The following is a 26853-nucleotide window of genomic DNA, read 5'->3' on the forward strand; positions in this document are numbered from 1 at the left end:
CCATTATAATTTATAATGCCATAAATATTGATATATAAGACATGCATAATACTAAAAGCACCTTTGGGTCCTTAGTAGTTTTTAAAAATATAACAGGATCCTGAGACCAAAAAGTTAAGAACTCCAGTCTTAAAATATACAAATTAGTCCTTTATTTCTATAGAGAACAGAGAGTCCACAATTCAAACCTAAAAGCTTTATTGTTACCTCCGAAGTAAAAGAGTCACTGGTAACATTTCTTTTTACACATTTTTTCATCATTAAATAAACTGCTAAACTTTAAAACTGATGAAATTAGATTTCATCATAAATTTATACATAACACAAATTTACACATAAGCGTAATCAAAATGATATATTTTGTGGCATCTTTAAAACTCATTAGGATTAATTATAACACTCTAAACTTGTATCTATCATATATACTTTCTACACGATGCCTAATACTTTCATAACTGTAATCTCAGATGTCAGTAAAGTCTTTAACATCTAGGCAATTTAGGTTATATTTATAAACAAAATTTAAGGCAGATTTCAAAAGCAGCTACACAAAAAATGGATACTATTAACTTCCATACCAATAGAAAAAAGACTAGTAACCAAGAATGAGGACAATTGTTTATTTTTAAAATATATATTATAGCAAAAAAAATCAAAAGTGTAATGTAAGCTTTCAAATTAAATAAAATGTTTATTCATGCTGTTGTTACTACATATATTTCTGTATCTTTTTAAACTTAAGCTTGAATATTTATATGTATAATCAATGCAATCAAAATTATCACTAAAATATTTATTAAATGCTGAGATTATCATATCTTGATATCAAGCACCTATGAATATGTTTTATGGAATAAACATGCTTCCCTCCACACAAAAAGCTTTAGAAAGGTTACAAAATGTATAAACATTATGTTTTACACAGGCAAAAAAAGAGAGGAAGAGAAACAGAGAGGAAAAGATAATAAAGTCACTGTTCAATGGAATGTCTAAGGAGCTGTTATTTTCCTCCCAGCTTTGTGACATAAAGACATACTTTATGAACTCAAGAAGAAATAAAAGTAGGTTAACCATAATTGCACATGATAATGCTCTAACTTATTCTGTCTGCTTTATCCTCAGAAGAAATAAATGGAAGATTTATTCTACTGGCCATGTCCTATTTGAAAACAGACATTTTAGCCATCTAAAGAAGAAAATGGTTCAGGTTTCTTATAGGAAGATAAGGCAGCAACAATAGTGTGGTTTAAATCATCAGATCCCACATTCCAGATAAGAAAAACAATACCCACAGAGCAAGAAGAGCTTGTAAAGTCAAAGAAAGAACAAAATCCAGGCTACTATCTCTAATACAAATTGGCTCCACAGTCCCTTCCATCTTCTGCAAAAATGCCAGCTTTTGAAAAGTTACTTGAAACACTGTATTGTTTGCAAGCAAAATGATTTTCAAATTATCACTAGTTCTTCAAGGGACATTAGAGTTTGCCCTAAGTCACTCTTGTTAAATAATAATTACCTAAGCTGAATTCACTTAAGCAATATTACACTCTTATATTAAATAAAGAGGACAGACACTGTCAATGTATGCACAAGCTTTGAAAAAAAATCACACAGCCTTAGCCAAATGCACCTCACAAGGGCACAGCAAACAGGGTGCACTCTGTTAGGAGCACAGATGGGAAGGTGGCCGTGGCATACTTCTGTAACCTCAATTATATACATGCCTGGGCTAGATTAAGGAAAGAAACTTCCAACCTTTTATTTAATTCTATAGTCTTTTCCTTCTCTAAGTGCATAAACTTAAAAATTATGTCTAAAATTTATAAACTTAATAACTAAATTTAATAATTCCTCCATATAGAACAGACAAGTAATTTAATATGTATTCCCTGACACAGTATTAACTTGAAAATGTCTGTCCACAGATGATCAGCACATTCTTCTTTAAACAACATTGCAACATGCTGAGCTCCTAAAACTGTAGCCATACAGAAAATACAGACAAACGCTCATGTCAGAGAACAAATTGTGGCTACTATGTCTAGAGAAAGATAACATAATAGCATCAATGTCTATTTTAAGGCCATCTTCCAACATCTGAAAGTGTTCACAGTATCACTGAATTCTTAAGACAGAAAAGTTCGTGTTTTTAAATAATGATATTATCTAGGAGTAGTTCTTTCAAAATGAAGGAAATAAGTTCATAATATAGGGACTAGAGATCTGTGAATATCTATACAAGGAATTGATATTCATGAATTCTACATATCTCTATTAGTATTGTAAAGCAAAGCTGTGGATACAACTTTAAATAGGTGTCTAATTTCACACATTCCCAAAAAGACTATTCCCAGCCAGAATCTAGTTGAATGGACTATGTTGTGACAGGAAAACTCAGCTAAGTGCAGATGTTTGTTTAATGCCAAGGAGCCTGGGAAGCCATCAAAATGCCAGACTTTCTCTCATCATTTGCCTGCCTTTTTCCAAAACATTCAAGGATGTAAATGAGTGCTTTAAAAGGAAATTCGTGAATGTATTGTATACCTACAGGAAGATCTCCTTTTACTCTAGCCAAAGAGACTGTGGAGCAGATCTCTGCATTAGAAAGAGGAGCAGCAGCAGTGCCTGGCAGTGACCTGACTCACCGAACCCAAGCAGGGCACAAAACACAAGTCCCTAGGAAAGCCCACAGCAGGTGCCAGAAGGCAAGGCCAGGAGGGGGGCTCCCCCAGCAGGAGCTAAGAGGATCCCAAGCCCGACAGTCTAACCCTGGAGCCTACCTTTCTGTCGGGTCCCTCTGATTGCATATGCCATGCCATCTTTTCTGAGTGGGCAGGAATCTTATTCCTTACATATGTGCCTAGAAAACCCTTCAATCTGCAGTAAAACACAGAAATGTGCTATTTTCAAAACTTACCTAGAAACCATCACTGTGAAGGCCAAGAAGACAGCCTCACAGACACTCCTGTTACCATTGCCATTACCTCACTTTAAAATAAACTCTTGCCGAAGGCCTAAGCTACTTAGCCAGTGTGTCCTTCCTAGAAAATGAGTGGCCTCCCGCTGAGAACAGGCTTCCCACCAAGTCTAGGAGGCCAATGGATTAACCACATCAGTGCTGCCTCCTCAGGGTGCTCTCCACCCTGGCCCACAGAGAATGTCTTCACACAGAGCTCTTTCACCTGGCCTTGCCCACTGAATGAGAAAAACACGCTGCACCTGCTCTCAAAAGCTGGGGTCAGGGCAATCCCTGACAATCTTTTCACACCCCTTTACCAGTAGCTGTAGCAGCTTGTGCATGTTCCTCAGAAGGCCCCAGAAGCCACCCGACCTAAAGTCAGAGCACTCAGATAAAGCACTGTGAGGCCAAGGCTGAGGTCAGAATGCCACCCACTTCCAGATTTCCCATGACCACTAGGAAGGCACATCATAAACAGCACTAATGGTCACAAAGGATGGTGATTTGCCTTTTAACAGACGCCATGAGCTTTACTTACAAGATACGGATTCGGCATTACCTCTTTTAGCCCTCACTTCAACCCCAAGGAGATAGTAGAATCATTCCCATTTTATAAAGAAATGAAAGTTCTATAAGTTACAGTCACAAAGCTCGTGAAACATGAATTCAAAACCAAGTCCTGGGAGGAACATGCTTGGAAGGAAGATGTGGCTGAACACACCTCAGCTCTGAGTTGCTGAGGGATACCAAGCCAGCATGATTTCCCTGGAGCTCACAAGAAAGCCACAAGAGAGTAAACACACAAATGCATAAAGACCTCAGGCCTCCCCTCAGCACAGGCAATGGTAGCGCCATCTTCCCTTCACCCTCTACACTCTCTCCAGTCACCGGCATCCACCAAGACCTGCTCTGTGCTGCTTCTCCATGACTCACAGTGAGGCGGCCGTCGGTGCTTACTTTTAACTGATGTCAACAGCATAAAAATACTTGGGGTGCGAGCAAGGGAGAGAAAACACCAGAAGATCTTTGTTGAGGCTGCAGCCCACATGCTCCCATTCCACTCACTTCCCTAAAGAAGTAAAAGTGAACTAACTTGACTACCCATTGGATTATCTACTTTGCTAGGGACCCTGGGTGATAAACAGTAGTCACAGCAGGTAGACAGCTGCTGAGTGTGTGCTTACTGTCTGCCAAGGTCCCTGCTAAGCACTTTCCATGCATTAACTCGTGGAACTTCAAGACAACCCTGAGGTATAGGTATTATTATCTTCATTTTGCAGATGAGAAAATGGAGCCACAGAAAGTTTAAGAGACTTCCAAAAAGTCACAGGAAAGTAGTATACCAAGTGGTCCCTTGACTTTAGGAGCCTACGACACAATTATGGCAACAAGATTAATTCACTTTAAGCAACTGGCAAACAGTGCTGTCCAATTATTAATATTAATAAAAGTCAACGTCTGGAGGCTGGGTGTGGTGGCTCACGCCTGTAATCCCAGCACTTTGGGAGGCCGAGGCGGGCAGATCACTTGAGGTCAGGAGTTTGAGACCAGCCTGGCCAACATGGTGAAACCCCGTCTCTACTGAAAATTCAAAAATTAGTCGGGTGTGATGGCGCACACCTGTAGTCCCAGCTACTCAGGAAAATGAGGTGGGAGAATCAATTGAACTCGGAAGGTGGAGGCTGCAGTGAGCCGAGATCTCGCCACTGCACTCCAGCCTGGGTGACACAGACAGACTCGGTCTCAAAAATTAAAAAAAAAAAAAAAGTCAATGCCTGTTATGCACAAGCACTACATTAGTCCAAGGAAGAGAAGGTGAGCGAGGGCTGCAGTCAACAGATGCTTCCTGGAGAAGCGGGGCTACAGCTTGGGGCAGTGTGTCCCCCACATACGGTTTGAGAGCAGTGGTTCTCAAAATTACACAAATTAAAAGACAGAAATCAGCCATCTGTATAAAAATCATAATTCATCAATATGCTGTAAATAAGAAACTAACAGAAGATATAAGAAAGTAGGTTGAAAGCAAGGGAATGTGTCCTCCAGGGGACGGGCAGGGAGGGATGCTGGGGGCATGTGGTGTGCGGAGGCCAGCAATGCTGTTAAACATCCCACAATGCACAGGACAGCCCCTCACCACAAAGAACTCTCTGGTCCAAAACTGTCAATGGTGCTAAGGCTGAGAAGCCTTATACAGAGGAAGGAGAATATTTAGAAGGGATCACTCTATACAAGGGAAATAACACAGGCCATGGCTTAGAAACAGAAAAGAGCTCAGATACACGGAAGGCAATTTCTCATGAGGAATAAGAGGAAATCATGTTGCCCAGGAAGGCTTCATGGAGGGCTGTGAAAGCCAAGCAGGATTACAGCTGGATTTGGTTGGAAAGGGGGATATGCAACAGACCTGGGATGACATTCACAGGACAAGAACTCAAGAGTCAGGGAGTCCCAGAACCCAGCTGGAAGATTTGCTAGAATAGCCCAGGTGCAAAGTAACCAGCAGTTTCTGGTTAAAGAGGAGAAATGGTAGTAAAATGCCTTATAAAGAAAGCACCAGTGGGGCACAGTGGCTCACGCCTATAATCCTAGCACTTTGGGAGGCCGAGGCAGGTGGATCACTTGAGGTCAAGAGTTTGAGACCAGCCTGGCCAACATGGTGAATCCCTGTCTCTACTGAAAATACAAAAATTAGCTGGCCATGGTGGCACGTGCCTGTAGTCTCAGCTACTTGGGAGGCTGAGGCACGAGAATTGCTTGAACCTGGGAGGCAGAGGTTGCAGTGAGCAGAGATCATGCCACTGCACTCCAGCCTGTGTGACAGAGTGAGACTCGGTCTCAAAAAAAAAAAAAAAAAAAAAGAAAGCACTGACCTGGCTTACTATTGGACACAAGGGTGAAGGGAAGGCATAGGTGAGATTTTTATCCGGTCGGTCTTCCTCTCTTGCTTGTGCACCCAGGACAGTGCCTAGCAGAGAGCAGGCATAAATCCTGATGCATAAATCATAAACATAGCAGATTGGCTATAATGTCCTCATGCAAAGGGAAAAATTACATACAATCAAATCAGACTTGGAAAATGATAAATGCCTCTAAAGGAGCAATGAAGTCAGCTTTTGTTCCAGCAGGGGAGACACTGCAGGTTCTTCAATGGGAACCCAGATGGAATCACCAGCCGCCCGTCTATGAGCAGCTGTGGGAAACCACGCCTCCCGTTCAGCACAGCACAGTCCCTTGGGGGCCTACAGAACCCAGCACACATGAGGGTACAGCAGGTCCCCCCTCCCACCCAGGGCAGTGGCAGAATCACACCCACTACTGGTGGCCAAAAGAGATGAAGTCACCTAAGTTAAATGTGTGTATGATTCAAAGGTTTGGCGGTGGTGAAGAGTCCTCCCTGTTGGGAGACTGAGCCGGGAGGTAGACGCAGCTGCTCTGATAAACCCACAGGCCACACTGTCCCCAGTTGACAGGGACAGGGCTGAAGCACTGCCCCCACCAAGCAAGCCGACTCAGAAAAATTTAAAAAAATTAAAAATTTGTAAGAAAAGACGTTTGGGTTTCCATGACTGGAGGCCAGCGCTTTTCATGCACATTTCACCAACCAGCGCTTATCTTTCCTCACTTATCAAATGCAGATCCAGCACTTTCTGTGCACAGAGCATTGTGGGGAATGCACAGGAGCAAGTCTTAGTCGCGCCAAGGAGGGTTCTGTCCAGTTGATTTATTAACTTAGACCCAGGGTCAGCACAGTTTTGTTTTGTTTTTTTAAAGTCCAGACTGTAAATATTAAGGCTTTGAGGGTCATAGTCCCTGCGGTAATTACTTAAACTCTGCCATGAGAGCATGAGGGGAGCCACACAATATGAAAACAAATGGGCATGGCTGCGTGCCAGTAAAAATACTGACAAAACTGGCGGCGGGCCAGATGTGGCCACTAGGCTATGGCTTGCCACCCCCTGGCTTACACCTGTACTGTGAGCTGATGAACCAGAATACAAACCATCAGAGAACTTGGCAGAACACACAGAGCGGAGTTCTGGAAATGCCTGTGAAAAGCAAGTTTTGATGAGGGTGGAAGACAGCACCAGGGCTGGTTACTCTGTAAGCGAGACCCTGCGGGGAGAGCCTCTCAGAGGAAGCTAAGTGCCCAGGGCAGCCCAGCCTCATGTTGGGAAAGAGCAACACACCCAGGAAATTCAAGCATAAAGCACTGCACGATCCTGAGGAAAGCCAACTCTGCCTGGCAAATCATCCTCCAAAATTTCACCAAAACCCTTACTACCACAGAGCATATCTTCCAAAAAATGGCCTTACAATTCCCGCCCCAAATGTTACTGAATTGTTAAGGCAGGGCACTGGTGCTTGGTAATAACAAATAATGCTTAGAGAACTTTCCTAATTTAGCTACAAATGCATATGTCACTGAACTGTGGTTAAGAAAATAGATGCCAACCTATAATAAAGCAGAAAACCTAATAATTTGATCTTGTTCTTGGTTTCAGAACACTGTAAGAAATCATTATTTTAATTCCAGGCTCAGTTTCTCAAGAAGCTTATCAATATCACCATAAAGACATACATGAATTCCATGAGGCTCTCCACAATAGCCTCTCTTCAATGTCTACCTTGACGCAATGAACACAGGCCTGAAGCCATAAAGAAGATACATGTCACAACTCAGAACTGTTGGGAGAGACAGTGCTCCTGGGCCCTTGGGCCCCTACACATCTTGTCAGGGGTGCCAAGACTGCAGGCCCTGACCACCCCTCCACCCAGGCCATTTCCTAAGGTTGTTTATGCAGCTGGTAACTTTGAAAGATGAGTTAACTTCTTTCCTCCTTTCTCCACCTCCCTCTCTCAGCCCCTGGGAAAGACTAGGCTTATTTACTGCTTGCTAAAAAAGTGGTGGCTGCCCCTGCCTAGATGTGCAACTCTGCTATGATGCAAATACACTGCATGCCCAGCATCCACCTGGTCCATAGCAAGCTGCCCTATGGGGATGTGTGGGGCAAGGGAAACTGACATAAATATGCCGATGCTGGTGTGCTTGCTGTATCAAGAATTAGACACCCCTTTGCCTCTGACCCAGGAGTCTTGTGTCCTCTGCCAGCACCCATGACAAATAACACAGGCTTATTTGTAACAGTGTCTTATTAGTTTGAAAGCAAGGTAAGATCAAATCCCAGAACCAACTATAATTCTCTTCAATATTAAATAGAAATTTGCAACTCTTTATTTCATTTTCCTCTTTTCAATATCCATTCTTCCGCAAGGCCTCTTAAACTATGAGTGGTGAAAGCTCCTGGTCTTGCACAAAGCAATCCCAGTTCACACCTGCTGACCTACTGTTTCCAATCCAGTAAGTGCCCCCTTTCACTCTCCAAAGTGTCCTCACCTGTACATTAAATTATATGATCACCCTACTTATAACCCAATGGACAGATATGTAATTGCTGAAAATATGTAAATTGCTTCAGTGTTTTCTTTGTGATCATTTTTCTTTAAAAACAAAAAAAGGAACAACAGTCTGACTCCAATTCTTTCACTTAAAACATGTTTTCCTGCAGGAACTTAACCCACCATAATTATATTTTGCAAATAATGGGAAGAAAGTTTAAATTCAGTATCCTCTTGAAGCAAGATGACAATCAATGGTTGTTAAGTGCTTTATTGTTGCAAAGCACATTTAAATATACACTATTTTTTCCTTTTTGAAAACTGTCATCCAAAACAGAATGATGCAAAAAATCACATACATCTGATCTTTCATTAAATGTTATGTTAATATTTAAACATGGTTCTCTCCCCCACAATATTCTGGGGAAAAAAATTTCTCTAAGAAATATAATGAGGCCGCACCATGAAGATGTGACTCTGCAGATTCTGGGAAGCTATCCAGTTTGCGCATCCTTGTCTCTGCAACCTCATCCGTGCTGGGAACTGGAGAGCTTGTCTCTTGCACAGTAAAGAAACAACCTGAAACAAAGTAGTCTTTTATCAAACCTTCCCAAAGGGCAGTCAAAAGGCTGAGGTTTCAGCTACCCTATGCATGCTCTCCAACAGGTTTAACAGGAGTAAAGTCCCTTCCATTCCTACTTGCATAAAAACGCAGACCAACACTCCACTAGACGTCCTTGACATTGACTCCTCTCTAGCTGATCTGCTGTAGGGGCAGCAGCCATGCCTAGTTCTTCACCAAACCCCTATTCCTATCTGCCCTGCACACACCCCTACACACAGTGAGATCTTAGAGCTTTGACAAAGTGCAAAGAGAAGTCGCTCTACCCAAATGTACCCTGCCAACAAGGAAGCCAACCCAGTGTTGGCAAAGCAAACTCTCAATTAAACAGATTATGCACCGTACAAAATACATCTTCGAGTGAATCACAGTAGGAAAATCCCACAGAAAGTACAAGGGAATTATAGTGCAGGCCTTGCTTTACAAACTCCATCAGATCTGCCCAAATGTCAAGTGAATTGATAAAAAAAAAAAACCCACTTTACCACTTCCATAAACTAAAATGTTAAAATATAATAATAATAAACTTGAATGTGACAGATTACTCAAAGGAAAAACTGTGTTATTTTGTTTTGTTTTGTTTCCTAAGATACTGACAAAGCTAAATTATTGGGGTTTTTTTAAGGAAGGTCTTAGAAATTCATAGCAGAAACAAAATTTTTGGGTTTAAGAGAGGACTTTTCTTCATTGTTGTAATTTTTCATCTTCCATGTGTATCAGTGGTCTCTGAAGAATTCAAGTAAAATAAAAGCCCTCCCTGGTTGCCCACATTTCCCCTGTGAACACACAAACAGCAGATGTACATGCCCGCCCTTCACACTCCTGCTACATCTTCCTGAAAATCCAGCTCTGGAGTGGCAGTGGCTGGGTTCAAATCCAGTCACTGCCACTGAACAGCTGTGACTTGGGCGAGTCACTTATCCCCTGTGCTCTGGTTCTTTTTTGTGTAAAATGCCAATAACAACAGCACCAAGCACACAGAGCTGTCACGAGGATTACATGGGTTAACACCGGCAAAGGGCTTAGGACCAAGCCTGGCACGCTAGTGTTTGCTAAAACATTTTATCAAGAGAGCTACAAAATAAACTCCCTGGCAATGTCTCGCCTTTTAGATGCAAGGCAACATTGAGGTCTACTTCATCCGCAAAGTCCACATTTCTTTTGTGGGATTGTGCCTAACAGGAAGTGAGTGTCAACAAATATTCGTGGGACAGATGGATACAAAAAGCTGTACAAATAAAGAAGCAAATGACCTCTTCCATGATTACAGTCAAAATTCCAAAGGGCTTCATTAAAGTCAAATCACCAGAATGGTAAACTGGAGCCTGCGTGCTGTTCTCACCACTAAGTGGTACTTCCTGCCCTTCCACAGTGAGTCCTGGTCCCAGTGAAAACACGATAGAACCAGTCACGCCCCGCCTCTCCTCATCGTAAGAAAGCTGCCCACTGAGACCATCCCACACTCGCCACCACCATTTCCCTCAACACTGCCACTTCTATTACTGGCAGTTATTGCCAGTACTAAAACATGAGGCAAAATGAAATTTCTAAAGCACCGTGAAATCTATGGAAAAATATTCAGAAGCAAAGCTTTCAATTAATTCAGTATTTAAATGAAATTCATTTCAGACACAATTCGATAAAGCCTTCATATTCTGAAGAAATTCCCAATAGTATGAAAAAATATATAGGTTTCCAAAAAGCTTCTGCTTTGGTGCATTGGGAAACTCGGGCTGCTCTTGCAGTGTAACGCAGTCTGATCTGCAGAATTAATTCAGACGTCCACACAGGAACTGCAAACCCTGACTCACAGGTGCCTTCCACTGGCGGCCACCTAGATCACTGCATCTGCCCCAGTCGATACAGGAACTCCAGTCTTTATACCTTCCAAACTTACTGTCCATATGTGGACCTAAAATGCCTCTACGGCTTGGCTCTCTCTCCCCCATTTATGGCCCCTCCATGGCTCTCCCGCCCTAAGGATAAAGTCCAGGCTGCCACGGCTTCTGAGGCACCTCCTGACCTGGCTCCCCACCTGACCAGCCGACTTCTCTTCCCAGCCAGACTGTGCTACAACCTGACTTTGTGCGCTCTCTTCTCACCTCCTACCTGGAGCCACCTTCCCACCACCTCGCTGCCCCTCAGACCTCCGTGTAAATGTCATTTCCTTGGATGCCTCCTGCAACCACCACCCCGATCCCAGGCTAGGTGAGGGACACTTCCACAGCCAGCGCTTCCCTTAGCATGACACTCAGCACTTTTCATCCTAGTTCCTTTACTTGAGCCCTCCGAGAGGGCTCTTTGTCACTGTATCTCCAGCACCTGGAATAACGTCTGGGGCACAGGAGGTCGTCAATACCAATTTAGTAAATGAGATGACAATGGCTTAACTGCAACAGTCAGGATGAGAAATAGAGAAGAACCCAAAAAGAATGGGGTGGAATCCAATAGGACCTGGTGACAGAACAGACATGGGCAATAATAAAGAAAGAAGGGCCTGGCCTGGATGTCAAATCTCCACTGGGGCAGCAATGTGAGCAGAGCCACTCAACAAGAAATAGGCAAAAGCACAAACTCAGGCGAGGGCACTAGTTTAGGTTTAGACACGCTAAAAACATGAGGTGTCCCAAAACATGTGGCTACAGTGTTGTGGCTAAGAACTCATCCCTGCCCTGCTCAAGTTGCCAGTAGCTTCCCAGCACATTAAGGAAACTCCAAACTCGTCACTGAGTCCTACAAGGCCACATATGGACTGGGTCTAGCCCCTCAAGCTCTCCGACCCCACTGTCTCAGTCTGCTTTCTCCCTGCTCGCCTCACTGGCAACAGTGGCCCTCCCACTGTCCCCAGAGGTGCCCAGCAAAATGCTCCTCAGCACCTGTGCACTCACTGCAGCCCACCTGGAGCACGGCACCCAAATCCTTGCAGGGCTTCCTGCTTCTCTTAATGTAGGTCCCACTTCAAACATCACCTCCTCCTGTCAGTCGTGAAAATTATCCACAGTAGCACCCCCTGACTCGCTGTCACATCAGTCTGTTTTAGTTTAATCACTAAACACTTGATGAAATTACACTGTCTGTTCATTTGTTTTGCATATTTGTTGTCTGTCTATCCTATCTACAGGGTACATAAAGTAAGGCCCCAGCTGCGCACAGTGGCTCATGCCTATAATCCCAGCACTTTGGGAGGTTGAAGTGGGAGGATTGCTTGGGACCAGGAGTTTCAGACCAGCCTGGGCTGGGGAGACCCCATCTGTACAACAACAACAACAAAAATTAGCTGAGTGTGGTGGTGTGTACCTGTAGTCCCAGCTACTCGGGAGGCTGAGATGGGAGGATCACTTGGACATGGGAGGTTGAGGCTGCAGTGAGCCTTGATGGCATCACTGCACTCCAGCCTGGGTGACAGAGTGAGACCTTGTCTCAAAAAACAAACAAAAAACATAGTCAGGGTCCTCAACTACTTTCCTTACTAGCATAGCCTGAGCACTTAGAACAGTGTATGGCCCTTGCTAATAGCTTATCATATCTGTTGAATGAATATCTGAATGGAGGAATGAAGGTAGCAAGATGGGATTTGTCCTCTCCTGCCCTCACACTGAAATCATTGTGTATTTACAAAAGGTGATACACAGTGCCAACTATCTAAGGACATTAGTAACGCTGACTATCACAAATTCCAGAAAGTTCTCTCAACCAAAAGCAAATAAAGCTTTGGAGGAGGGCACGGAGCACAAACAGGAAAAGGGAAAAGAGAGGAAGTGGATTTCTCTGATCCTCACCTGGCCCCCTGTCTCAAGGGTCACAAACCTGGCTGACCACCAGGAGCACTGTGTTGTATTTTGTTTATTTGCTTGGTTACAAATTCATCCATTCACATACTGAGTAACTGACAAACTCATCTCGTTCGAAAGTTAAGACCATATAAATAGGTATAGGTGAAGAAATCTTACCTCCTCTCCTGGCCGTGTCCACTTTTCTTCATACGAGTTTCCTGAGTTGGTTTTTTTAATTATTATTTGTATTATACTTTAAGTTCTAGGGTACATGTGCAGAAAGTGCAGTTTTATTACATAGGTATACACGTGCCATGGTGGTTTGCTGCACCCATCAACCTGTCACATACATTAGGTATTTCTCCTAATGCTATCCTTCCCCTAGCCTCCCAACCCTCAACAGGCCCAGGTGTGTGATGTTCCCCTCCCTGTGTCCATGTGTTCTCATTGTTCAACTCCCACTTATGAATGAGAACATGTGGTGTTTGGTTTTCTGTTCCTGTGTTAGTTTGCTGAGAATGATGGTTTCCAGCTTCATCCATGTCTCTGCAAAGGACATGAACACATCCTTTTTTATGGCTGCATAGTATTCCATGATGTATATGTGCCATATTTTCTTTACCCAGCCTATCATTGATGGAAATTTGGGTTGGTTCCAAGTCTTTGCTATTGTGAATAGCGCCACAATAAACATACATGTGCATGCGTCTTTAGAGTAGAATGATTTATGATCCTTTGAGTATATACCCAGTAATGGGATGGCTAGGTCAAATGGTATTTCTAGTTCTAGATCCTTGAGGAATTGCCATGTCTTCCACAATAGTTGAACTAATTTACAATCCCACCAACAATGTAAAAGCATTCCTATTTCTCCACATCCTCTCCAGCACCTGTTGTTTCCTGACTTTTTAATGATCGCCATTCTAACTGGTGTTAAGATGGTATCTCATTGTGGTTTTGATTTGCATTTCTCTGATGACCAGTGACGATGAGCATTTTTCATGTTTGTTGCCTGCATAAATGGCTTCTTTTGAGAAGTGTCTGTTCATATCCTTTGCCCACTTTTGGATGGGGTTGTTTGTTTTTTTCTTGTAAATTTGTTTAAGTTCTTTGTAGATTCTGGATATTAGCCCTTTGTCAGATGGATAGATTGCAAAACTTTTCTCCCATTCTGTAGGTTGCCTGTTCATTCTGATGAGAGTTTATTTTGCTGTGCAGAAGCTCTCTAGTCTAATTAGATCCCATTTGTCAATTTTGGCTATTGTTGCCATTGCTTTTGGTGTTTTAGACATGAAGTCTTTGCCCATGCCTATGTCCTGAATGGTATTGCCTAGGTTTTTGTCTAGTATTTTTATGGTCCCAGGTCTTATGTTTAAGTTTTTAATCCATCTTGAGTTAATTTTTGTATAAGGTATAAGGAAGGGGTCCAGTTTCAGCTTTCTGCATATGGCTAGCCAGTTTTCCCAACACCATTTATTAAATAGGGAATCCTTTCCCCATTGCTTGTTTGTGTCAGGTTTGTCAAAGATCAGATGGTTGTAGATGTGTGGTGTTATTTCTGAGGCCTCTGTTCTGTTCTGTTGGTCTATATGTCTGTTTTGGTACCAGTACCGTGCTGTTTTGGTCACTGTAGCCTTGTAGTATAGTTTGAAGTCAGGTACTGTGATGCCTCCAGGTTTGTTCTTTTTGCCTAGGATTGTCTTGGCTACATGGGCTCTTTTTTGGTTCCCTATGAAGTGTAAAGTAGATTTTTCCAATTCCGTGAAGAAAGTCAATGGTAGCTTGATGGGGATAGCATTGAATCTATAAATTATTTTGGGCAGTATCACCATTTTCACGGTATTGATTCTTCCTATCCATGAGCATAGAATGCTTTTCCATTTACTTGTGTCCTCTCTTATTTCCTTGAGCAGTGGTTTGTAGTTCTCCTTGAAGAGATCCTTCACATCCCTTGTAAGTTGTATTCCTAGGTATTTTCTTCTCTTACTAGCAATTGTGAATAAGAGTTCACTCATGATTTGGCTCTGTTTGTCTGTTATTGTTGTATAGGAATGCTTGTGATTTTTGCACATTGATTTTTTATCCTGAGACTTTACTGAAGTTGCTTATCAGCTTAAGGAGATTTTGGGCTGAGATCATGGGGTTTTCTAAATACACAATCATGTTATCTGCAAACAGGGACAATTTGACTTCCTCTTTTCCTATTTGAATAGCCTTTATTTCTTTCTCTTTCCTCATTGCCCTGGCCAGAACTTCCAATACTATGTTGAATAGGAGTGGTGAGATAGGGCATCCTTGTCTTGTGCCAGTTTTCAAAGGAAATGTTCCAGTTTTTGCCCATTCAGTATGATATTGGCTGTGGGTTTGTCATACATAGCTCTTATTATTTTGATATATGTTCCATCGATACCTAGTTTATTGAAAGTTTTTAGCATGAAGGCAAGTTGAATTTTGTCCAAGGCCTTTTCTGCATCTATTGAGATAATCATGTGGTTTTTGTCATTGGTTCTGTTTATGTGATGGATTACATTTATTGATTTGCATATGTTGAACCAGCCTTGCATCCCAGATATGAAGCCGACTTGATCGTGGTGGATAAGCTTTTCGATGTGCTGCAGGATTCGTTTTGCCAGTATTTTATTGAGGATTTTTGCATCAATGTTCATCAGGGATATTGGAATGAAAATTTCTTTTTCTGTTTTGTCTCTGCCAGGTTTTGGTATCGGAATGATGCTGGCCTCATAAAATGAGTTAGGGAGGATTCTCTCTTTTTCTATTGATTGGAATCGTTTCAGAAGGAATGGTACCAGCTCCTCCTTGTACCTCTGGTAGAATTCAGCTGTGAATCCGTCTGGTCCTGGACTTTTTTTGGTTGGTAGGCTATTAATTACTGCCTCAATTTCAGAATTTGTTATTGGTCTCTTTAGGGATTCGACTTCTTCCTGGTTTAGTCTTGGGAGGGTGTATATGTGCAGGAATTTATCCATCTCTTCTAGATTTTCTAGTTTATTTGCGTAGAGGTGTTCATGATATTCTCTGATGGCAGTTTGTATTTCTGTGGGATCAGTGGTGATATTCCCTATATCATTTTTATTGTGTCTATTTGATTCTTCTCTCTTGTCTTCTTTATTAGTCTGGCTAGCAGTCTATCTATTTTGTTGATCTTTTCAAAAAACCAACTCCTGGATTCATTGATTTTTTGAAGGGTTTTTCGTGTCTCTATCTCCTTCAGTTCTGCTCTAATCTTCATTATTTCTTGTCTTCTGCTACCTTTTGAATTTGTTTGCTCTTGCTTCTCTAGTTCTTTTAATTTTGATGTTAGGGTGTCAATTTTAGATCTTTTCTGCTTTCCCTTGTGGGCATTTAGTGCTATACATTTCCCTCTACACACTGCTTTAAATGTGTCCCAGAGATTCTGGTACATTGTGTTGTTGTTCTCATTGGTTTCAAAGAACATCTTTATTTCTGCCTTCATTTCATTATTTACCCAGTAGTCATTCGGGAGCAGGTTGTTCAGTTTCCATGTAGTTGTGCGGTTTTAAGTGAGTTTCTTAATCCTGAGTTCTAATTTGATTGCACTGTGGTCTGAGAGACAGTTTATTATGCTTCCCATTCTTTTGCATTTGCTAAGGAATGTTTTACTTCCAATTATACGGTCAATTTTAGAATAAGTGCGACGAGGTGCTGAGAATAATGTATATTCTGTTGATTTGGGGTGGAGAGTTCTGTAGATGTCTATTAGGTCCACTTGGTCCAGAGCTGAGTTCAAGTCCTGAATATCCTTGTTAATTTTCTGTCTTGTTGATCTGTCTAATATTGACAGTGAGGTGTTAAAGTCTCCCACTATTATTGTGTGGGAGTCTAAGTCTCTTCATAGATCTCTAAGAACTTGCTTTATGCATCTGGGTGCTACTGTATGGGGTGCATATATATTTAGGATACTTAGCTCTTCTTGTTGCATTGATCCCTTTACCATTATGTAATGGCCTTCTTTGTCTCTTTTGATCTTTGTTGGTTTAAAGTCTGTTTTACCAGAGATTAGGATTGCAACTCCTGCTTTTTTTATTTTTAATTTTTTTTCTTTCCATTTGCTTGGTAAATATTACTCCATCCCTTTATTTGGAGCCTATGTGTGTCTTTGCACATGAGATGGGCCTCCTGAATACAGCACACTGATGGGTCTTGACTCTTTATCCAATTTGCCAGCCTGTGTCTTTTAATTGGGGCATTTAGCCCATTTACATTTAAGGTTAATATTCTTATGTGTGAATTTGATTCTTTCACTATGATGCTAGCTGGTTATTTTGCCCATTAGTTGAAGCAGTTTCTTCATAGTGTCAATGGTCTATACAATTTGTTATGTTTTTGCTGTGGTTGGTACCGGTTGTTCCTTTCCATGTTTAGTGCTTCCTTCAGGAGCTCTTGCCAGGCAGGCCTGGTGGTGACAAAATCTCTCAGCATTTGCTTGTCTGTAAAGGATTTTATTTCTCCTGCACTTATGAAGCTTAGTTAGGCTGGATATGAAATTCTGGGTTCAAAATTCTTCTCTTTAAGAATGTTGAATATTGGCCTCCACACTCTTCTGGCTTGTAGAGTTTCTGCAGAGAGATCTGCTGTTAGTCTGATGGGGTTCCGTTTGTGGGTAACCCAACCTTTCTCTCTGGCTGCCCTTAACATTTTTTCCTTCATTTCAACCTTGGTGAATCTGACAATTACGTGTCTTGGAGTTGCTGTTATTGAGGAGTATCTTTCTGGTCTTCTCTGTATTTCCTGAATTTGAATGTTGGCCTGTCTTGCTGGATTGGAGAAGTTCTCCTGGATAATATCCTGAGAGTGTTTTCCAGCTTGGTTCCATTGTCTCCATCACTTTCAGGTACAACAATCAAACATGGATTTGCTCTTTTCACATAGTCCCATATTTCTTGGAGGCTTTGTTCATTCCTTTTTATTCTTTTCTCTCTAATCTTGTCTTCACATTTTATTTCATTAAGTTGATCTTCAATCTCTGATATCCTTTTTCTACTTGATCAATTTGGCTATTGATACTTGTGTATGCTTCACGAAGTTCTCGTGCTGTGCTTTTCAGCTCCATCAGTTCATTTATGTTCTTCTCTAAACTGATTATTCTAGTTAGCAATTTGTCTAACCTTTTTTCAAGGTTCTTAGCTTCCTTGCATTGGGTTAGAGCATGCTCCTTTAGCTCAGAGGAGTTTGTTATTACCCACCTTCTGAAGCCTACTTCTGTCAATTCATCAGACTCATTCTCCATCCAGTGTTGTCCCCTTGCTGGCGAGGAGTTGTGATCCTTTGGGGAAGAGATGTTCTAGTTTTTGGAATTTTCAGCCTTTTTGCGCTGGTTTCTCCCCATCTTTGTGGATTTATCTACCTTTGGTCTTTGATGTTGGTGACCTTCAGATGGGGTCTCTGAGTGGACGTGCTATTCCTTTCTGTTTGTTAGTTTTCCTTCTAACAGTCAGGCCCCTCTGCTGCAGGTCTGCTGCAGTTTGCTAGAGGTCCACTCCAGACCCTGTTTGCCTGGGTATCACCAGCAGAGGCTGCAGAACAGCAAAGATTGCTGCCTGTTTTTCCTCTGGAAGCTTTATTCCAAAGGGGCACCTGCCAGATGTCAGCCAGAGCTCTCCTGTATGAGGTGTCTATCGGTCCCTACTCGGAGATGTCTCCCAGTCAGGATACACAGGGGTCAGAGACCCACTTGAGGAGGCAGTCTGACCCTTAGCAGAGCTCAAATGCTGTGCTGGGAGGTCCACTGCTCTCTTCTGAGCTGCCAGGCAGGGACGTTTAAGTCTGCTGAAGCTGCACCCACAGCTGCCCCTTCCCCCAGGTGCTCTGTCCCAGGGAGATGGGGATTTTATCTGTAAGTCCCTGACTGGGGCTTTGCGTTTTTTTTCAGAGATGCCCTGCCCAGAGAGGAGAAATCTCTGGCAGTCTGGCCACAGCGGCCTTGCTGAGTTTCAGTAGGCTCTGCCCAGTTCGAACATCCTAGCAGCTTTGTTTACACTGTGAGGGTAAAACTGCCTACTCAAGCCTCAGCAATGGTGGACGCCCCTCCCCCAACCAAGCTCAAGTGTCTCAGGTCGACCTCAGACTGCTGTGCTGACGGCAAGAATTTCAACCCACTGGATCTTAGTTTGCTGGGCTCCGTGGGGGTAGGACCTGCTGAGCCAGACTCCTTGGCTCCCTGGCTTCACTCCCCTTTCCAGGAGAGTGAATGGTTCTGTCTTGCTGGCATTCCAGGTGCCACTGGGATACAAAAAAAAACTCCTGCAGCTAGTTTTGTGTCTGCCCAAACAGCCACCCAGTTTTGTGCTTGAAACTCAGGGCCCTGGTGGGGTAGGCACCAGAGGGAATCTCCTGGTCTGCAGGTTGTGAAGACCATGGGAAAAGTGCAGTATCTGGGCTGGAGTGCACAGTTCCTCAGGCTCAGTCCCTCATGGCTTCCCTTGGGTAGAGGAGAAAATTCCCCAACCTCTTGCCCTTCCTGGGTGAGGCGACGCCCTGCCCTGTTTCGGCTTGCCCTCTGTGGGCTGCACCCACTGTCCAACCAATCCCAATGAGATGAACTGGGTACCTCAGTTGGAAATGCAGAAATCACCCAACCTTCTGCGTCAATCTCACTGGGAGCTGCACACCAGAGCTGTTCCTATTCAGCCATCTTGCCAGCAATCCCTATTAAATCGTGTTTCCTAAGTTTTTTGCTTTGGTAAGTTTCTTGTACAATCTGCATGAATGTTATTTCATACACTGGCTCCTCTAATTGTGGGATAAAAAACCTGTGAGTAAGACTTTAGGATCAGGTACAGTTTTTAAAGATATTACCAATTGCCTTCATCAAGGGTGTGCCTTTTTATCCTTGGAAAATATTTTACATAAAAATTCCTAGACCCCACTCCAAACCTACCAAATCAGAATCTCTAAGGGTGGAAGCCCAATAACTGACTTTTTAGAAACAGCTTCCTTTGTAATGGTGATGTTCAACTACATCTGGGGACAGCTGTCCTGCCTCAGAGAGGAACACTCTTCACTCATCAGAAGGAGGAAGCCACTGCTGCCCTACTGTGCAGAACCTGCTTACCTGAGTAGGCAGAGGCCTTCCCCACGACCTCATCAAAATTCTCTTCTTGTATATATAATCATGCCTAAGAGGATTATGCACACACACACACTCATATATATACATATATATACACACACACAAACCATACATACAAATGTTCATGTATACAGACACATCCATATACATATATCTGTAGTCACATGGAATTGGAGTCTCTCTGAAAAGAAAGGCACAAAGTGGTACTAATGGCTGTCTTCAGGGAGAGTAACGGGGTAGCCAGAGTATGGGGTGGAAGGCAGACACTTTTCTCTGTTGAATTGTATACCCTGTGCATGTTTTACTTTTTGAAAAACAAATAAACTTATAAAAACTCTCTCTTCTTTCACTGAATCTGGGACACTATTTCTAACAATGCCGCAATGATTTTAAAATATTTCTGCAAATGTTTTAACAATTCCTTGCATCAAAAGTGGATTCTAATTCCCCACCCTGTTCTGAATATAGGCCAAACTCAGTGACTTGCTTCTTCTCCTGAAAAGAATGTGGCAGAAGTGACTTCCAAGCCTAGTTAATAAAAGGATGACTTCTCCCTGGCTTGCTGTCTGTCACGGATGGTCTCCTCTGGGGGAAGCCAGCTGCCATGTTATGAGGACACTCAACAGTATGTGCAGTCTGTGGAGAGGCTCACCTGGGACAAGAAGAGCAAGAGGTATGCCATGTTCAAAAGAGAAAGGACAACTCGTAGAGACATACCTAGAGACAGGGAGCAGGTAGAGTTCTGCCAGCCTTGGAAAGAAGGAGTGACAGGTCTTCCTTTGGGGGAGAATAGAGAAGGAAGAAAAAAAGAGAAGTAGATGATACAGAAATTTGGATACGGAAGGGAGAGAAGTTCGTAAGTTCAAAGCAAAATATCTCACTATTTCTATGGCATTAGAGTGAGATAAAAAGCTTAAAGGGGCAGGCCACAGTGGTTCACGCCTGCAATCCCAGCACTCCGAGAGGCCAGGGTGGGAGAATTGCTGGAGTTCAGGAGTTCGAGACCAGCCTGGGCAACACAGTGAGATCCCATCTCAAAAAAATATATAGTATTTGGCTGAGCATAGTGGCATGTGCCTGTAGTCCCAGCTACTCTAGAGGCTGAGGCAGGAGGATCACTAGAGCACAGGAGTTTGAGGCTGCAGTGGGCTGTGACTGCACCACTGCAATGCAGCCTGGGTGACAGAGCGAGACCCTGTCTCAAAAGTAAATAAATAATACATTAAAATTAAAATTAAACAAGCTTAACAGAAGAGGTAAAGATTCCCAACAGTCACTAAAACAGAGGAAACAGAGATGACTCATTTAACCATTCAGAAGCAACATGTCCAATGAGGTTCTAGAATTCATCCCTTTAAGCCTACCACCATCTCCATTCAAAGCAACACTTGGTTAACCACTCTTCAAGCTCTCCAAGAAAATATTTCACAACTTTGAAATTAATCATTCAAAGTTATTCCACATATTAAGCCTTAATTATTAGTTATATAAATTAATTCTTTATCCTCTTGAAGGCAAGAATGATTGCCCAACATTACTTTCAGAATGCCCTTTCCCTATTCCTAAACCTCTCTCCAAAAGGCCGAATGAGGAATAAACTCAATTCCTATATGGTCTATCAGCTAGTCCTTCACTTTCTCTTATTGTCTTTAGGGAAACACCAAAATCTCCCTCAGTCAATCAAAATTTGAACCTGTCTCTAAACTTGAGCCAATGCCATAGATAAAGGTATAAATATCACACATAATTCATTTCAACAACCATTTCACAAGGATGTGACACTCAAAAGCACCTGAACAAGCACTGAGGGAAGACTAGAATTTCCTAAAGAAAGGTGTTTTCCATCCAGTAGGAGAGATAAGCCATGTATATAAATAACTGCAATCAAAGCAGAATGTACTAAATAGAATGACAGATAGCACACCAAGCACACAGGGGAGAAAGCCTGCACTACAACTAGGAGATTGGAGGTTTCACTGCATTTGAGTTGAACTTAAAGAATGAGAAAGATTCCAACAAGTAGAGAAAGAAAAAAAATATTTGAGAAAATGTGAACACTGAGCAAAAGGCATGACAGGGAGAAGAGCATAGGCCTTGGTGCAGACGGCCTGCCATTGATGTCTGGGGAAGGGATGACTGACTGCAAACAGTTCTGTCTGACAAGGGTCACATATCAAGGGCCAGGAGCAACATAGCAAGATTCTTTTCATGCATTCGCCAACTATTTTACTGAGCACTTACTACATGTGACGCACTGTGCTGGGCACTGCAGATAAAGCAGTAAACAAAGCAAAGTTCCAGTCTTCACAGAGCTCACATTCTAACTGAAAACAGAACCTAAAGAAACACACAGATAATCCATATGCCAGGTTGTGATGAGTGCTAATGTCAGGGAGGCCTCTACCACAGGCGGATCTGAACACGAAGCAATGAGGGAGTGGAAACTGACCTGTGTGAAGAGTGTTCCCAGTAAGGAGAAGTGTAGAAGTCCTGAGATGGCTGCTTATGAAGCTGCTCAAGGAACAACAGAAGCCAAGGAGACAGAGCAGGGTGCACAAAGGGGGAGAAGGCAAGAGATGAGACCAGAAAGGCAGGAAATGGCCAGACTGCAGGCAACCCTGCAGATCCTGGAACAGACTTTCATTTTATTATGAATGACATGAGAATGAGACTAAAGGGTTAGGAAGAGAAGAAAGCACTTAAGGAACCCTATGGAAGGCAAGGGTGGAAACAGGGAGGCCACTGAAGAGTCTGTAGCAGTGATCCAGGTGAGAGAGGATGGTGGCTTGGGGGTAGATGGCAGCATTAGAGTGCAGGAGAATGAGCCAGAATCCAGATACATTTCGAAGGTACAGCAGCCAGGACTGGCGACAGACAGGATTACAGAGAAAAAGAAATGACTCCCAGGTTTTTGGCAAAACACACACACAAGAGAAAATTAGCCTGGAACTACAGGCTGGGCCTGATCAAAAATCATCCTCCAAATTGAGGTCTGGGAACCTCCAGGGGAAGCTGAAACAGGACGCCTTCACCTAAGGCTGTCGTCTCTGTGCTACCACTATTCCCTTGCCTACAAAGTGAAGTAAATGGTTAGATTTGTGTTTCTCAAACTAGGATACCCATATGAGCATTCAAGCCACACTACAATCTTACCAGTCTTCCCAGAAAGTTAGTTGTATTAACAGACTCAGGGGTAATTTATATTTACTAGTTCTATTTATTAAAACAAAAATCTAGTATGAGTGAAAGGGAAAACACTGCCTAAATATCTACACAAAAGTGCATTTATGGGAGCAGAAGTACATACATATTTGACTGGCATTTGGCATTCTTTAATGGAAGAGTTTGAGATGTTCTGATTTAAATACATCTCTGGGCCCTTCAGCTATAATGTTCTGTGTTTTAAGTATATTTTACTAGTTTTCAACCCTGAGAGTCATCTAGTGGGAAAAATACCGAAGATGTGGTTTTGGAAAATAAAATTTAATTGTTAGCATCTTTCATAATGTGTAAGAGCAGCCAAGAATAGGTGGAAGGTGGCAGTGGGGAAGGTGCAAGACAAGAAGGGCTGCAAAGCCCCTAATCGTGATGAGTAGGGAGCCAAAGAAGCTGTCAAAAATTTGTGGGAAAAGACATAGACAATTATTCTGAAAAAGAGAGGAGCAGAAGTAGTATAAATAAAGATAGTTTTCACCTTTCCCATGCAAACGTCAACAAAAAGTGTATAAAAGTTGATTAAGAAGTCACAGAGGTATAGACACACTATCTAGAGTGTGGAGGAGTAAATGAAATAGCCAGTAATTAGGTAAAAAAGGTGCTCAGAGTCACCAGGCCCAAGGAAATGCACATTAAAATAACAATATGATACCCTTTTATACCCATTAGATTGTTCAAAAATTAAAAAGAGCTATGATGTGAGGGCAAGGGTACTTTGTTAGGTGTGATTTTAGAAAATAACCTGAAAGGATTTATCAACATAAAAAAATGCAAGTACCAACAATCCACTCCTGGGAATCTATGCCATAAAAATAAAAGCACTAAGATGTAGGACAAATGTATTAAGGATGGTTATTCTGGCATTATTTGAGAAGAAAAACATGAAAAAATGTACTGCTTAGCAATACGGGAATGGCAGAATAAAACATGTCCCTGGATATGCCAGCATTATTTGCAGACAAATTTTGAGAGTAAAAAAGTTGATACCTAACAATATAGAAATTTCAGAATAAATTATGGTACATCATCACACCATAAAATATTAGCAGCCTTTATAAACAGTGAACTGAATTTGTCCCAGCTGAGTTCAGAAAACTACCAGGTGAGAAAAGTGAGTTCCAGTGGAGCCAGGGGATGCTGGTACGGATAAAGAGGAAGGAAAGGATGAGAGAGGGAAATGGCTAAAATGGAGAAGAAATTGAAAATGCACAGAAAGGCAAGCATACAATTATCTGGCTAAGCAATATTGTATATATGGGTTTATTTGTGTAATTAACAAAACATTCATGGATATTTGTTTTGTATTCTTTTTTGAGAACCAGACTATCAGCTCAGAGGTGGAACTGAGGGGCCAGGCACAGGCAGATGGACACCGGCTGTGTTGAGACACCCTGGGTCCTTCCAAACAGGCTACTAAGGCCCCAACACATGCAACAGAGCAGTGAAGTCCAGGTGTCAATAGTACTTAACAGGGAAGGGCATGGCAAAAGAGAAGGAGGAGCAGAGGCAACCAGAAAAGGTGCTTAAAACAGAAAAGAGGTGGTCTCTAGGGAATGGGTAAACTAGGGACAAGGAAAGTCAGGAAGGAAACTATCGTTTGTGATCATAAGCCTTTCTGGGCTCTGATTTGTCACAAGGTACAGGTATCACTTTTAAAATAATGAATTTAAAAAATAATAAACTCAGCAGAAACCTTCCAAGCCATAAGGGATTGGGGTCCTACCTTTACCCTCATTAAACAGAAGAACTGTCAGCCAAGAATTCTGTATCCAGCAAAATTAACTTTCACAAATGAAGGAGAAATAAATTCATTTCAGACAAACAAATGCTGAGGGAATTCGTCACTACCAGAATAGTCCTACAAGAAATGCTAAAAGGAGTTCCAAATCTTGAAACAAAAGCTCAATCTACACCAGAATAGAACCTCTTGAAAGCATAAAACTCATAAAAACCTGTAAAACAACAACACAACAAAGAAAACAAAGTAGCTATGTAATAATTAACATGATGACTGGAACAATACATCACATCTCAATATTAACAAGGAACATAAATTGCCTAAATGATCCACTTAAAAGATACAGATTGGCAGAATGCTTAAAAAAAAATCACAAACCAAATATCTGCTGTCTTTAAGAGACCCATCTAACATGTAAGAATTCATCTAAACTCAAGATAAACAGGTGGAAACAAATATTCCATGCAAATGGAAACCAAAAGTGAGCAGGAGTAGCTATCCTTACATCAGACAAAACAAACTTTAAAGCAATAGCAGTTAAAAAAGACAAAGAGGGACATTATATAATGATAAACGGACTAGTCCAACAGGAAACTATCACCCTAAATATATATGCACCTAACACTGGAGCTCCAAATTTATAAAACAATTACTACTACACCTAAGAAATGAGACAGACAGCAAAACAATAATAGTAGGAGACTTCAACACTCCACTGACAGGACTAGACAGATCATCAAGACAGAATGTCAACAAAGAAACAATGGACTTAAACTACACACTAGAACAAATGGACTTAACTGGTATCTACAGAACATTTTACCCAAGAACTGCAGAATATATATTCTTCTCAACAGCACATGGAGCATTCTCCAAGACAGACCATATGATAGGCCAAAAAACAAGTTTCAATATATTTTTAAAAACTGAAGTCATATCAAGTATCTTTTCAGACCACAGTGGAATAAAACTAGAAATCAACTCCAAAAGGAGCCCTCAAGACTATATATCTATATATATATACATATACACACACACACATATATTACATGGAGTTAAACAATCTGCTCCTGAATGATTTCTGAGTTAACAATAAAATCAAGATGGAAATTTAAAAATTCTTTGAAATGAATAATAGTGACACAAGTTATCAAAACTTCTGGGATACAGTGAAAGCAATGCTAAGGGTAAAGTTTACAATGCTAATTGCCAATCAAAAAGTCTGAAAGTTCACAAATTAACAACTTATTGTCACACTTCAGGGAACTAGAGAACAAGAGCAAACTAAACTCAAAGCTAGCAGAAGAAAAGAAATAACAAGGATCAGAACAGAATGAAGTGAAATTGAAAAACAAAGATACAAAAGATCAATGAAACAAAAACCTGGTTCTTTGAAAAGATAAACAAAATTGATATACCATTATTAGCTATATTAACCAAGAAAAGAAGAGACAACATTCAAATAAGCTGAATTAGAAATGAAAGTGGAGACATTACAACCAACACCACAGAAATACAAAAAATCCTTCGAGACTGCTATGCACACCTCTATGCACACAAACTAGAAAATCTAGAGGAAATGGATAAATTCTTGAAACATACGACCTTCCTAGATTAAATCAGGAAGAAACAGAAACCATGAACAGACCAATAACAAGCAGTGAGACTGAATCAGTAATTTAAAAATCACCAGCACCAACAACAAAACCTAGGGCCAGACGTATTCACAGCTGAATTCTACCAGACATTCAAAGAACAACTGGTCCCAATCCTACTGAAACTATTCCAAAAGATTGAGAAAAAGGGAATCCTCCCTAATTCATTTGATGAAACCAGTACCACCCTGATACCACAACCAGGAAAGGACATAACAAAAAAAAACAAAAGTCTACAGACAAATATCCCTGATGAACACAGATGCAAAAATCTTCAACAAAATACTAGCTAATTGAATCCAACAGCACATCAAAAGATAATACACCATGATCAAGTGGGTTTCATCCCAGGGATGCAAGAATATTTTAACATACATAAGTC

The 26853-nt window shown here is 41.7% G+C and overlaps 1 protein-coding gene and 1 non-coding gene across 26 annotated transcripts in view, besides 2 other annotated features; both read right to left on the reverse strand.

Moving 5' to 3' along the window:
* The window catches only part of L3MBTL4 (L3MBTL histone methyl-lysine binding protein 4), a 460543-nt gene that overhangs the window by 409621 nt on the left and 24069 nt on the right, over positions 1–26853 (reverse strand). For 2 of the 25 annotated variants that reach the window (NM_001365770.2, XM_011525758.2), the window contains exon 1: positions 3277–3346. The exons of the other annotated variants lie outside the window; for them this stretch is intronic. The gene's annotated coding sequence lies outside the window, so the exon portion shown is untranslated. Of the gene's footprint in view, positions 1–3276; positions 3347–26853 lie in introns of those variants that run through there. 25 annotated transcript variants of the gene reach the window in all.
* MIR4317 (microRNA 4317) lies at positions 10024–10088 on the reverse strand. Its single transcript, NR_036205.1, has one exon. It is a non-coding gene; the product is annotated as a microRNA 4317 (primary transcript).
* Positions 18008–18794: an enhancer, noted in NCBI's record as "H3K27ac-H3K4me1 hESC enhancer chr18:6382344-6383130 (GRCh37/hg19 assembly coordinates)". NCBI's record gives its function as "activates a minimal SCP1, AML or CMV promoter by ChIP-STARR-seq in naive H9 embryonic stem cells {active_cell/tissue: H9 hESC(naive)}" and the evidence as "EXISTENCE:reporter gene assay evidence [ECO:0000049][PMID:30033119]".
* Positions 18795–19580: an enhancer, noted in NCBI's record as "H3K27ac-H3K4me1 hESC enhancer chr18:6383131-6383916 (GRCh37/hg19 assembly coordinates)". NCBI's record gives its function as "activates a minimal SCP1, AML or CMV promoter by ChIP-STARR-seq in naive H9 embryonic stem cells {active_cell/tissue: H9 hESC(naive)}" and the evidence as "EXISTENCE:reporter gene assay evidence [ECO:0000049][PMID:30033119]".

Source organism: Homo sapiens, chromosome 18 (genome assembly GCF_000001405.40).
Source record: "Homo sapiens chromosome 18, GRCh38.p14 Primary Assembly".
NCBI classification, from domain to species: Eukaryota; Metazoa; Chordata; class Mammalia; order Primates; family Hominidae; genus Homo; species Homo sapiens.